Source organism: Homo sapiens, chromosome 12, assembly GCF_000001405.40.
Source record: "Homo sapiens chromosome 12, GRCh38.p14 Primary Assembly".
NCBI lineage: Eukaryota > Metazoa > Chordata > Mammalia > Primates > Hominidae > Homo > Homo sapiens.
This window is the reverse complement of record NC_000012.12, coordinates 28,480,547-28,494,335: the sequence shown is the minus strand read 5'-3', so window position 1 is coordinate 28,494,335 and position 13,789 is coordinate 28,480,547. Positions and strand designations below refer to the sequence as shown.

The 13,789-nt window shown below is 31.9% G+C and overlaps 1 protein-coding gene across 37 annotated transcripts in view; it reads right to left on the bottom strand.

Moving 5' to 3' along the window:
* Positions 1-13,789, bottom strand: part of CCDC91 (coiled-coil domain containing 91) — a 359,711-nt gene that overhangs the window by 55,831 nt on the left and 290,091 nt on the right. For all 37 annotated transcript variants that reach the window (NM_001352086.2, NM_001352079.2, XM_047429083.1 and 34 more), the window contains one exon: positions 10,171-10,284. In NM_001352086.2, the coding sequence (NP_001339015.1) occupies positions 10,171-10,284 (114 nt within the window). The remainder of the gene's footprint in view (positions 1-10,170; positions 10,285-13,789) is intronic.

Sequence of the window (13,789 nt, the reverse complement as noted above, 5' to 3'; positions counted from 1 at the left end):
TTTAACCTATTTACGAAGTGACCTGAAAGCCTCTAGTTGTGAGTAGGTCCCAGAAAAAAAGGAGGCTTCCTTGTTAGTCCATACTATAGCACATCTACCTGGCCCTAATTAACGACCAATAGATTCAATGGGTGTTAGAACCGTTAGCAGTTTACTGAGATGCTATGTGGAGCCTGTGAAAAGTTCTAATAGAGGAATCCCAGCAGAAATCTCTAAGGTTTTGGAACAAAGTCATCAGGCAGGGAAATCTTATCCCTTTGAAAAGCAGCACTGAGCTCATTGCTAAGTGTTATTCAACATTGTATATTTGGCTGTGAAAAAACAAATGTGACCTGATCTGCCTAAAATGAACTTGTTTTAGCTAATCCTCCAACCTATTAAATTGGGCATGCTCAAGTAGAAAGCCATATCAAATGACTCTCATATACATGGACAGAGATTCAAGATGATTGTGACAGCAGAAGTTGAATGATCAGACCAATCACGCTCTCAGCAATACTTGTCTTGTGGTTGGGTGCCACAGAATATTTCAGGTCATCCTCTTTGTAGACAATGAGTGAGCACATTTTTGTTTTTATAAGAGATACCTTCAGTATTTTATTATTATTTTAGTTGTATTACTGTTACTATATGTAAGTATGGAAGAAGAATGTATTTTGAAGGTTAGGTTTAAATATTGGCAATGGGAATATATTGATGTTAGACAGCCAGGTAGTGTATGTTTATTAAGTTTTCTTGTTTTAGCACTTTTTGAAAATCCTTACATGTTGGGGCATATTCCATGCATGTAAGTTCTGTCCCTCTAAGGTAAAATCCACAAACAGCATTTTCTTAGCTGCTTTTGTGTTCAGTGTACATATATACACATGTGACCAAAGTTCTACTTTTCTTCCCAATTTATCTGGGTCTTACTGAAAAGGCACAAATTAGATGGAGCCTGTAAAAACAGAAAGGTATACTAATTCCTGTTAGTGGAAAAAGTAATAATTCCTAGAATATTATATGAAAAATAATGTGTAAATTATTCAATCAGTCTTAAAAATTTACCAAGGTAGATCCTACAATCTCACCATATAGTTTGCAGTCAAACAGAACCAAGTTAAAATCTTGACCCTCGTACTGATTTTGGGTAGTTATCTAATATCACTGACTCTCAATTTTCCTTATCTGTAAAATGAGGTATTATTTTAGGGTTGTTGTGAGGATTGAGACAGTAAATATAAAGCACCCATTATTGTATGTTGGACAAACTTGGGACCCAATAAATGGTGGTTCTTTTATATATTTTTTCTAATACAGAACATTTTACTTAAACAACTTAAATTTCCATTTAAGTTGAGTATTTCTAGGTATTTATTTAGTTTTGAGGTGATAACTGTGGTACTGTTTTCTGGGAGCCTATATTGCTGAATTTTTACAGCAAGCAACTTTTTCTTAGTTGAACAAGTTCACATCTTTGAAACTCTTTTTCAAGGTTATATCTTTAATAATTCACTCTGAACAATGATTTCCATGAAACTATCATCATCTTTTCCTAAATAAGAAACAAAAACAACATAGTTTTATAGTTAAAGTATATAATAAAATATAGTGGTGACATGTGGGCTGTTCTCTTGGCCAGTCCTTTTGTATATTACTGAGTACCTCCTGCCCTTCTAGTTCTCTTAGCTGTTCATGTTACAGCTGTAACTCTTCACTGGTTCTAACTACTGCGGGCTTTAATAATTTTCTTCAGATATTGGCTTCATCCTAGATAGTAAAGTGAAATTGCTAGTATACAGGAAGTTGACAAGGGCCACTGGTGTGATATAGTAGAAAAAGCACTGGATCAAATTTTAGCTATGCCATTATTAGATGTAATCTCAGAACCATAATTTCTACCATCTGATTTTCTGGTTTACAAAAGAATAATAAACATGCAAGTGATTATAGATTATAAGAGTCAAATAACATATAAAAAAATCTTTATAAATTTCAGTTGCTAAACAAATATGTATCATTATTAAGAATACTAGGATAAGGCTCTCTTTATTGGTTATTTTATTTGTCCTTGTAGCCTAAGCACAGTGCTCCAACTATTAAGGGTATTCATAACATTTCTTTATAGAATGAAAAAAAAACATTTATACTGAAGCTTCTCCATATGCAGTTTAAGATGGGATAGTGAAAAGTATACACAGATGCATGCTGTGTAAATATATAGATATAGACAGATTAAGATGCTGGCAATTTGTAATACCACTTCATTCTCCATTTCCTTCTAAACAGTTTAATAGCATGGGCTGGAGTGAGAACAGTGAAGGCAATTGTGGTCCCTTAATAAACGGCTCACAAATAGAGGTCCTTCAAACAGACACACACACACACACACACCCCAACACCTTCATACACGCACACACACATTTTGATATATACACACATACATACACCTACACCTTCACACACACACACACACACACACACACACACACACAAAATTTTTGACTTCTAAGGATGGCTGAAGGGCATATCAATATAATAAGCCAAAAAAATTCCCTCCATGTCTATTGCCCCCAATAATCTGAGCTTTATGAGCCAAGATATTCTAGAATTGCATCCAAAAGGTATATCAAGAATCTAGAAAATAGACTTCTTTACAAAAATTTTTATATATAAATTTGCTTATTCTTTTAAGAAACCAAATCCTTTGGCTTCTCGCAGACTCTTTTTCCTCTTTTTATTATATAGCCTAGTCCACATTTTAGTTTTCATTTGACAGAAACCAAAAGTCCATCCTGATCATCATAGGCTTAAGTGATCTTCTGGAATTCTGTTGTCAATTGTTGTCACCATAATGCATTTGGTCTTTATTCAAGCACTGTCATGTGCCAATGGTGTCTATTATTGCTTGAAGCTATTATTTTGACCTCACTTAATTCGTTAAGGAGTATGTTCTTATACTTTCCTTCCAAAATAAGGCTTTAAGCTTTAAAAGACATGGTGCTTCTGGTCTCGCACAACTTTTTTGATCTACCTGGGTTCAAGTGATTCTCCTGCATCAGTGAATATATGTTTTTTAAAGTTAAATCATTTTACCAAAGAATAAAGTTAGTTGTCATTATAGTAATTCAAGAAGTGATTACTTAGATGAACAATTTTGAATCATTACATAAAAAGAGATAAACATTTTCATATACTAGATGCCTCCAAAGTCTTTATGCTCACTGTACTTCGATTAGAATCCACCCAAAAACCAATGAAAAATACCGCATTAACTGCTACACCAAACTAGTTTTTATGTGTACATACATAAATTTACATTTTGATTTTAAGTTAAAACGTATTTTATATTCCTTGCTACAGGAATAATGGGATATAATCTAAGCATTGGGCTTTATCTTTAACATCATCTCAATTACCACAGTTGAAATGGAAATGACAAATAGGGTCATCTCACCAAAGTGTGTGATTGTCCACATGTCAGTAAGTTTTTTCAAGATTATTCTTATGCAAGTGAAAAGAGCAAAACAAGACAGACCATCAAGAAGACTGATAAAATATAAAGTGGGAGATAGCAATAAATTTGATTTTAAAGTATAATTTGTGAAATAAACTGTCAAAGAGTTTAAGATAGAGAAATAGTGAATAAGTTTTAAAATCATAATTATATTAACCTTAAACAACTATAAAACCTTTAAAATCTGTTTACTTCATTGCCTTCACTAACCTCTCTTTCACATCAAATTTCCTAAGCTTTTAATTTAAGAAGAAGGATAAATTTGTGACCTAGTTGAAACATCATTTGGCAAGATGGTTAGTACTGGTTATTTTTCTAAATCCAAATATTTTTCCATTTGTTTATTGTGCCACCTGAAATGGATATAATTATACAAATTTGGAAGGTAAACTTCTGATGATTTAAATTACAATATAGCTTATGTAGAGAAGGCTAAATTCCCTTTGGCATCAAAAAATGAGGTACAACCGAAAACAGGCAATAATGAATGTAAGGGTATAGTATGCTTTTTAATATGTGTTGGTTACATAAAAGCATTTTCAAATATGAGACCCAAATCAAAAGTTACAAGGGCAGATGCTTTAGACCACAGATGCTGAATTGTTAATGAGCTACTTCTTGCACATACAACTACACAGCCTCCTCCAGATTGGATAGAAGCAAGAGTAATTAGGATGAGAAAGGGGCAGGAAGATGGGAAATGTCAGGAAAGCGCCATTTTCCTACACTAATTTATAAATACCATACAATGTAACTACTATGATGCAACTGATTTATATCAAGAATTAAAAATCTCTCAAGGGGTTTATCAACTGTCAAGGAAAATGTTACTCATAGTCTTAACAGAATTTTAGGACTTTAAGAGTCATTAGAGATCAGCTAGTCAAACTTCTATATTTCTAAGAAGAGAAAAGTAAGGGACCATGAAATATTAAATAACTTATATTGAAATAATGGTTTATTCAAGTAACTGTGTAACTGGTCAGAACATAAGGAAAGTTCATTTTGTCTAAATATTATCTTTTAATAGTTGGAGATGCAAACATCCAAGAATATTGCAGCAAAACTGGATTAAAAGAGCCCTTTTATATTTAAAAAATTCTGACAATGCCTTGACCACAAAACCTTTGAAGTAAAGAAAATTGCTTCTTACTCTTCTCTAAAAACCTAAATTAAAAGGATACTCTAAAGTGAAGGTTATTTTCCTGGAGGTGATTTAGAAAACACAGGCAATAATTTTGTTTCTTAAGAGGAAAAATAGTATTTTATTACATTTGGATGAGATTTTATTTTTTAGGAATCACTGCTTGGCTGTGAGTAGTTGTTGCTTGCTGAATGTTATTCACACTTCCTCCCTCATAGCAAACTCATGTGTAACAGTCTTAACTTGTGGGATGGGTTGGAACTCTTCGTTCTAATCCAAGGGCTGTCGGTCATTATAAACCACAAATTATTCCTCCCTAGGGAAGTGTCAGGGATGTATTCTTTCCCATCTCATTTTTCTGCCATCTCCATTTATAAAATAAAATTTATGGCACTAATGATCAGATATGATGTATTATAATATCTTATCTGGCAATTAATACATAGAGAGAAATCTTCTCCAGAATAGCACCTAAGAGACTTCAATTGTCTAGTTACCCTGAGGCATAAGAAGCGAATAAAAATTTTAAAGGGCTGAAAAGAAGAAACTTTCCCCGCAAGATAATTTTTATGATTTAGAACAGGAGTTGGTAAACATTCTTCTTTAAAGAACCAGATAGTAAATATTTTGGGTTGTATGTCCCAATGGTCTCTCTTTACTCAACTCTGCTATTGAAGCATGACACCAGTTAGTGGACAATACAAAAATGAATGGATGTGAATGTATGTTTCAATTAAACTTTATTTATAAAAGCAGGCAGCAGGCCGGATTTGACCCATGAGTTGCAGTTTGCAACTTCTGCTATAGAATTTACAGTGATTGAAGAGAGTCTGAAACCAAAATTTACATTTTAATAAAATACAATATGGTCTTTCAATGCAAATCACTGTACTTGCAGGTACCTTGCTGATCCACAGAAAGATTAAATATATTTTTAAATCTTTTTAGGTTTTCCTGTTTGCCTTTTCTTCTCTATTATATAAGTTATATTGGAAATGTCTAAATCCATTAAAATTAGATAATTTCTGCCAAGTTCAATGGAAAATTTATGAGTGTTAAGGCTACAGATTACCTTTTTGATTCCACAGTAAAGTTGTAAATTCAATGTAAGGATCCTTTTTTTTCCTCAGGATTAGCATGATAGATTTTACAGAGAAATTTCTAAAAAGATTATGAGGTAGAATTCTTATAAAAAGGCATTTTTATTACTAAAACTAATTCATCATTGATTTAAATTATCTTTCTGGTTGATCATTTTAAAAGCTCTCCTTATTTGGATATTTTCATTACATAGTAATTTTTGGTTATGATTATGACTCGGACTAATATTACAAGTACTATGTATCTGACTTAGTAAATAATTTAGGATGTAATTTGAATGTAAATTATAATTTACTTAATTAGTACATGTACAGGTAGCCCCTTTGTCCTAAGATGTTTAGACCAGACGAATACTAGGTATTTTTAAAGTTTAGTGACATCTCTATTGATTTCACACATAAAAATTGGTAAATAGCATTTAAAATTAAAATTTTCTCAGAATTCTAACTTTAATTCTAGTATAATTCTGAGTATAATTTTACTACTTAACAGGAATGGATAACTGATTAAGTACTTAATTTCAGATACACAGAAAGAGCTATGTAACCTCATATAGCAATTTGTAAATCCATTGTGTTTTATATTGTTAGATAATCCATAAGGTATTTCAAAAATTAAGCATTTTGAATTTTTAATTCTGTGTTTTTCTGTCTTTTAAAAGCAAAAGACTAAAAAAAAGATGTAGGGGAAAAGTATTCATTTCAAACTTTTAATGAATTTGGTAAAAGTATGATGATGTCTAATGAAAGACTACTAGGACAAAGGACAAAAAAGGTAGGACCTAATACAAGTAGACTTCTTCCTTCAAAGATTTTCAAAAACTTCAAGAACAGAAGATTACTTCACAAACTGAAATTCAAGCTCAGTTGGAAACAAGGTCTATCGGGCTTTTAAGTTGTCTAATGTTGAAAATCTCAAGTTGACTCTTTAGTTTAAAAAAAAAAACCTGGAGAAGGGAAAGGAAAATTTTTATTCTGGAAATGTGTTCTCTGATGTAAATAGAAATCCATCTTCCAAAGGAAGAAGTAGATGTGAGTTGCCCTAATTCAGTCTTTTGGAAACAGACAAGAAGATTATGAATTTGCTAAAAAACTTTTGTTTTTCCTAAGTATTAGTTTATAAGCTCTGAGATATCTTTTTTGTGTATGAAAATTTTCCAAACCCCAAGATATTCATAAAAATTAACTCAAAATACTGAAATACATTTTTGGAAAATAAGAATATAGAGAATCTCAATTTTTTAAAATTTACATAATAAAGAGGTCTAGTAATTAGTAATTAGTTCCATTTCAGATCATTTATTTACTTTTTTATAGCTTTTCTGTTTGGAAAGATACAAACATTCAAATATTAAAAATATGCCACAGCATGTATTATTAATAAAAGTTTAAAATCCCAAAGTGGAAGTAATAAATTTCCTACAAGTGTACTGATTAAATCAGTTTTAATCTTCTGTGAATTAGTAACAGAAGAGAAATAAAATTTTAGAATTCACACTTTAAATTCAGAGGAAATAGAACACCAAACACTATTCTAAAGAGCACATTTTTTAATTAGCAACAATAATGCTGCTAGTTATTTCTACTTTCTGTAAATAATGTGGTAAAGATGATAAGCATAACACATATTTATTGAGTCCTTACTGTAGCTGCTATTTTATTACATGTATTAATTCATAACAACTCTGCAAGGTAGGTATTAGATTTATTCTCCTTAATATATAAGGAAACAAGCAAAGAGAAGTAGAACTTCAGTGCAAATGAAAGCTAATGTCACGGTTTCTTGGCTGTTATTTTAATAATGTCTCTACATGTGGTAACTGATTTACTGACTAATACAAGTGAATACTAGGCCTTTAGTATGATTTGCAAGAACACACAGACTAAATGCCAGAGTTCATTGTCAGCTCTTTTCAAAGTTAATTTGCTTCATGTGGGGAACAGATATCTCTTAAAAAGGCATTTCTTATTCTTATTATAGGCACTTCTTATGGTAGCCACATAACTCCCTTTGACAAAAAAAGTAACATTATCTTTAAAATTCTTTTAAGAAAAATCATCCATCTCAACCAAAGAAATGTTAGTCTAAAATAATCTTATGAATGAGTTTGCTTTGTTATATAATTTCTCATTCAGATTCAGAGCTCAAATAAAGATTGGCCATATACTATTAAGACTAGACACTAAAAATGTGGAAATAACTAAATATCCATTGACAGAGGAATGGATAAAAAATGTGGTATATATGTACAACAAAATACCATTCAGCTTTAAAAATGAAGGAAATTCTGCAATACAGAACAGCATGGATGATCCTTGAGGGCATTACGCTAAGTGAAATAAGCCAGTCACAGAAAGACACATACTGCATGGTTTCACTTATACAGAGTATCTAAACTAGTCACATTCATAGAATCAGAGTGGACTGGTGGATACCAGGGGATTGGGTTAGAGAGAAACAGGAAATACCCAAACAATGGCATAAAGTTTCGGTCAAGCAAGATGAATACGTTCTAAAGCTCTGCTGTACAACATTCTACATCTATAGTCAATGATAAAGTATTATAGACTTAAAATTTTAAGAGGAAGAACTCATGTTAAGTGTTCTTACTAACATAAAATAAACAATTTTAAAAAGAGATGATAAAAAAGCAAATACCCACAAGAAGTCTTTGAATTTATTTGATACTTAAGTTCTTTCACAATTGCAATCCCTGTATGCATATAAAATGTACCTATAATTCCTTTGCTGCATGATTACTTTTGAACAAGATTATTTAAAATAAACTCTTTGTAGGTACATATGGAAATAGGAGTTTTCTGAGAACATAATACTCCTTTGAAAAGCCAATTGACTCTTTGGCCCAGAATTTTCCCCTTAGAAGGTTAGGCATCTATCAGGAATTTGTTTGAGTGAAAATGCTTTTAAAAACACTCTGAGGTAAACTGTACAAAGATTTAATCCAATATAAAATGTTTCTGTGAGTGGTTAATTTATCTGGAAAGACTACTTAGGAAGTTTTTACTCTGGTGACAAATTCTCCTCTGTTGAAACCTAACTGTAGCCATCAAGAGATGGGGATTTTCTTTGTATCATACCAAATTTGACTTCAAGTTAACAGCACTGGATGGCTGGGCACGGTGGCTCATGCCTGTATTCCTGGCACTTTGGGAGGCTGAGGTGGGTGGATCACTTGAGGTCAGGAGTTCAAGACCAGCCTGGACAACATGGTGAAACCCCATCTCTACTAAAAATAAAAAATAAAAAAATTAGCTGGGCATGGTGGCAGGCGCCTGTAATTTCAGCTACTCAGGAGGCTGGGGCAGAAGAATTGCTTGAATCCGGGAGGCAGAGGTTACAGTGAGCGGAGATCGCGCCACTGCACTCCAGCCTGGGCAACAGAGCAAGCCTCTGTCTCAAAAAAAAACAAAAAAAAAAAGTATAGGACTAAAGTAGTGTCATGAGCTTTTAGTGCACTTCTTGAACTGCCAACTGCAGGATAATATCTTATCGTATATTTTCTATTTATTTTGCCATTTTGACCACCAATTAAGTTTAGCTATTGTGTCAAATTTCCTCATACACACTGTTTATGTGTGTTTTGTTACATTATGTAATGCAATATATGTTTGCAATATATTATATATTTGCACAAATAAATATATTTATATAATATGTAACATATACTAAACATATAAACATCCTAAAACACTGCATGTGAAAAATTTTATTATATATTTTATTATATATATTTATTACAGAGAAGATTACAGTAAACATCTAATCTTAAAGAGTTTCTTATTTTGTGTATTGCTTAGAGGACTGAAGATTTATTGAAACGACAACAAATCAAGTTAGATCCATTAGTTTCAGCTACTCTTCAGACTAACATTAATAAAACCACATTGTATGAAAATGCTATTTTTTTCAAAGCTTTAATATGCATCCTAAATTCTTACAAGCATATTCTGAGTTATGGTTTTGAAATGGCACTATGGCAGAAGAGCCTGAATTTGCTAACTGTAATTATGTCCATTAGAACTACAGTGGTGTTAATACAGTCAGAAAGCTTAAATGATGCATACACATGTCTATGAATATTATAAGAAATTAACAAATGTATGGCAAAAGACTAAAAATGTAGAACTGTCTATTATCTTTGTAAGTAAAGCTAAATTGGAAATGATATAGGTTATTTCTAGGAGTCTACCAACAAATTATTCACTGTTGTTTTTGCTGACAGATGGGATTTATGTTTATAGACATAACTATCAGAATACATAATTATATCAGAAAATATCCTTAGATGAAGATCCGTAAGTTAGATGACACAGGACATTTTAAATATTTTACAATTTCATGTTATTGTATGGAAGTCACTGATTCAGTTTATTGAAGCACAAATTAAAACTCTTCAGGAGATACTTACCCTTTTCTGTTCTTTTATATACTCTATCAATTCATCTCTTGTTCTTTTCACTGCCTCTTCCACAGCCTTTTCACTTCGTTTCTGCTCTTCTATTATTGCTGCCTTAACAGTTTCCTGTTTGTGGGAGAAGGCAAAACAGTCAGGGAGGTGAGCACTATGACATATCTGTGTCCATTTCATATAAACTAAACATCCTCTTCAGCGGGTTTCAGCTCATTCTATTCAAAGTGTACCTTTACACAGGAATAAGAACTTACAGAATCTTTTGCGATCTGTTAGAGAGTTCACAGAACTCCCTTTCCTAAACTGAATGAAAGGAAAGGAACGGAATATGCCATTTATTGCAGGGAGTGCCTGACAGATTCCAATGGCTTCCCTACCAACCTTTCATTTGATGTTTACATGATTCATTGCCTTCCTGTATTTTGCACTATCCACATAAGACTTCCAACTTGTGTTTATTCTTCCAAGAACACTCTAATGCTCTACCTGTTTTATTCACGTTTAATTTTGCCATCACACAATAATCAAGTGTGGTCTGAGTGGTAAGATTTACAGCTAGTTTGGTCCTCTTGCCAGATTAAGATGTTGTGAGCTGGACACCATAAGTAAGAGGTAAAAATTCCACCCAGTGTGCTAGTATTTGAAATGAGAGATCTAGGGAGGGAAATGGTACTCTCCGTTTATTGAAATAGTAATCAGGTAGCTAAGAGATTTCAGAATTGCAAATACAGAAAGCAAACTAAAATTCTGTAAAACTACACTTCTCAGGAAGTCATGATATTTTCTGCTACAATAGTGTATCATGAAATGGAATGAATGCCACGAAGCAAAATCTTTTCATTCCCATCTATAGGTACCACCCTTTTTTATTGGACATCAAGGCAATCAATTGGAAAATGGCTTGAGTTTCTCAGAATATTTGCTTCAGTTTTGATTCTTGGAGGTTCTTCACTTTGTGGACTGTATGTATGACTTTGCTTAGTTTTCCCCAATTAATTTTAGATATTTATATGTAACTCAGAAAATATACAATAATATAAAGGATTCTCTATTTCAAATCTATTTACTGTAAAAAATGGAAACGTGGAAAAATACAAACACAAAGAAAGACACACATATATATACTTGGATATACAGAAGATGGGATAAACTGTACATACTATTTTCTAAACTCTAGCATTTTTTACTTATATCTTGGACATTTTCTGGAGACATTACATATTCTTCTATAATATGATTTCCATTATATTATAGGGTTGCATAATAATTTATTTTACCAATTTTTAATCATGGGTATTTTGGTCACTTTAAATAAAATACAGCAGTGACAAACATCCACATATGTATCTTTGTGCTACATTGCAGATATTTACTTTGGACCAATTCAAAAAGTGGAATCATTTTTGGCCAAAGGATTTAAACTCAATGTATCTTTTGACATTTTGTACAAATTTCTTCTTATAAGAAGCCCATAGGAATGGCTAGTTTCTTGCATCCTTGATAACATTTATTTTCATCGGTTTTTAGAATCTTTGCTTACTTGGGGAGAATGACATCTCATTTTACCCTGTACTCTTAAAAGATTACCAAGTGATGTTGAGCATTTAATTTAGAAAAATATTGGCAATACACATTTTCTCTTGTCATTTGCTTGATCATATCATCTATCACTTTAATATTGGTATACTTATTTTTTATTCCCTTCCTTATAAAATTAACTGAAAATTCTGAAAGTCTTTGAAAAATTTTACTATTTTATTTTCAATCACTGAGTACATTAAATGTTGGTTCCATTGATAGAGTACAAAGTTGTTTCCATAATTATTTCAAAAGATTAAAGTTGAAAAACTACAGCAATTTATAAAAGAAAAACATAAGAATAAAACTATTCAGCATCTGCTTTTATAATTCTTATAGACTTCACACTTGCAAATTTAGAATTTGAAGTTATTCAAATTTAGAAAGGTAAAAATATTACATACATACTAAGCTCTCTGAAATATAACATGTTAATACTTCTGTAGTGAAGAATATGAATATTCACATTATATGAGTCAATTAAAAGTATAAATAGCTTCACATTAGTTCAAGTCAGGTTTTGCTAACAGGTGAGTTACAAAAATCCTTAGTTTTCAGGGCTTTTGAAATTTTACAACTGCAGATAAAAAACTGTCATAAGAAACATATTAACTAAAAGCAAAAGCATCAATTTAAATAAATGGGCTATAACCAAAAAAACATGAAGAGTTAGTGAAAGTTATTCAGTTAACACTTTTGAGGGAGCTGAGTGTTTATATTATTAATACCTTCTCAGTTGAAATTTTTGAGGCTCTACCATTCCTTGTTTTTGAGCTGGCAAAAGACCATTTACAGTACAAAATTTCACTTGATTCTATCCTCCCCAGTTGGGAGTTAACTGACAGTCAAGGTTGTGAAGCTCATCCTTAAAAACTGCTCGTGTATAAATTATTCCTTTGAATGTTATATAAAAGTAAAGTTTAAGCCTTCTACTTTCTAATCAGGCCCAATTCTGAATTAGTAAGAATTGATTAATAAATTTTGTTTGCATGTATGCAAGTGGTATGTGAATATCTGCTTGCATGTTTTGTTGGTTCCATAAATTAAATATATCATTCCTGGGAGTCATGAGAATTAATCTAAAATAAAACATAGCTTGCAAGGAATGAAGAGTTGCCACCAATAAGTACATTCAAACAGGAAATTCTGAAAAGTATTTTCCAAAATATTTTGGTGATCACACCACCACTGAACATGGTATATTCTTTAAGGAAGGGTTTCTCAACCTTGGAACTACTGACAATCCTTTGCTGTAAGGGAGCATCCTGTGTGTAAGCAGCATACCGAGTATCTACCCACTAGATGGCTTCCAGTTGAGAAACACTATCCTAAGGTGAATAGTTTGGAATGAAAGGTACTCAATTGCACATATGTTATGCTGTATTTGTGAAAATACATCAGTCATATTGGAATGTTTTTATCTAAAAATATATGCAGAAACATCCTATCCAAATGATTATCTAACTAGTGTTCAAATGTGGAGAAAGTTCCATACACTATTTTTTAAAAATAAATGACTGGAATCAGTTTTTATACTGTTATGATTAAATAGGTCATGTTGAATGTCATTCAGGGCTAAAAACTTATATGATATTTTACATAAGATGTTATAATTTCTCTCTATTGCTTAAAAGTATAGTTATGCTTTAGCATCCATTAAATCTACTATACATTTCAGTAATCACAGGATCATGAACAAGTGAAATGCCTGTGGTTGTCTGCCCTTTATCAGGGCAATTTTGTTAAGGACTGTAAACATAGCTCAGTTATTTACAGAAAACAAGTATCACCAACTAACTGAATTCTGGTCTGTGGGTTGTAAACCATAGTACTATGTGGTTGTTTAATTTTCTGGGGAAATTGTGTGTTTTACTTATTTTTTGTTTCTACACAAAATACATGCATATTATCTAATTATGTATTACTCTAAAAGTTACATGTGGTTGTAGAAATGCACCTTAGAAAATGAGTGATAAACTAGAGGTGCAAAGATGAGATACACATGTTATGCTGGGTTCTAGTTTGTGGTTGGTAGCAA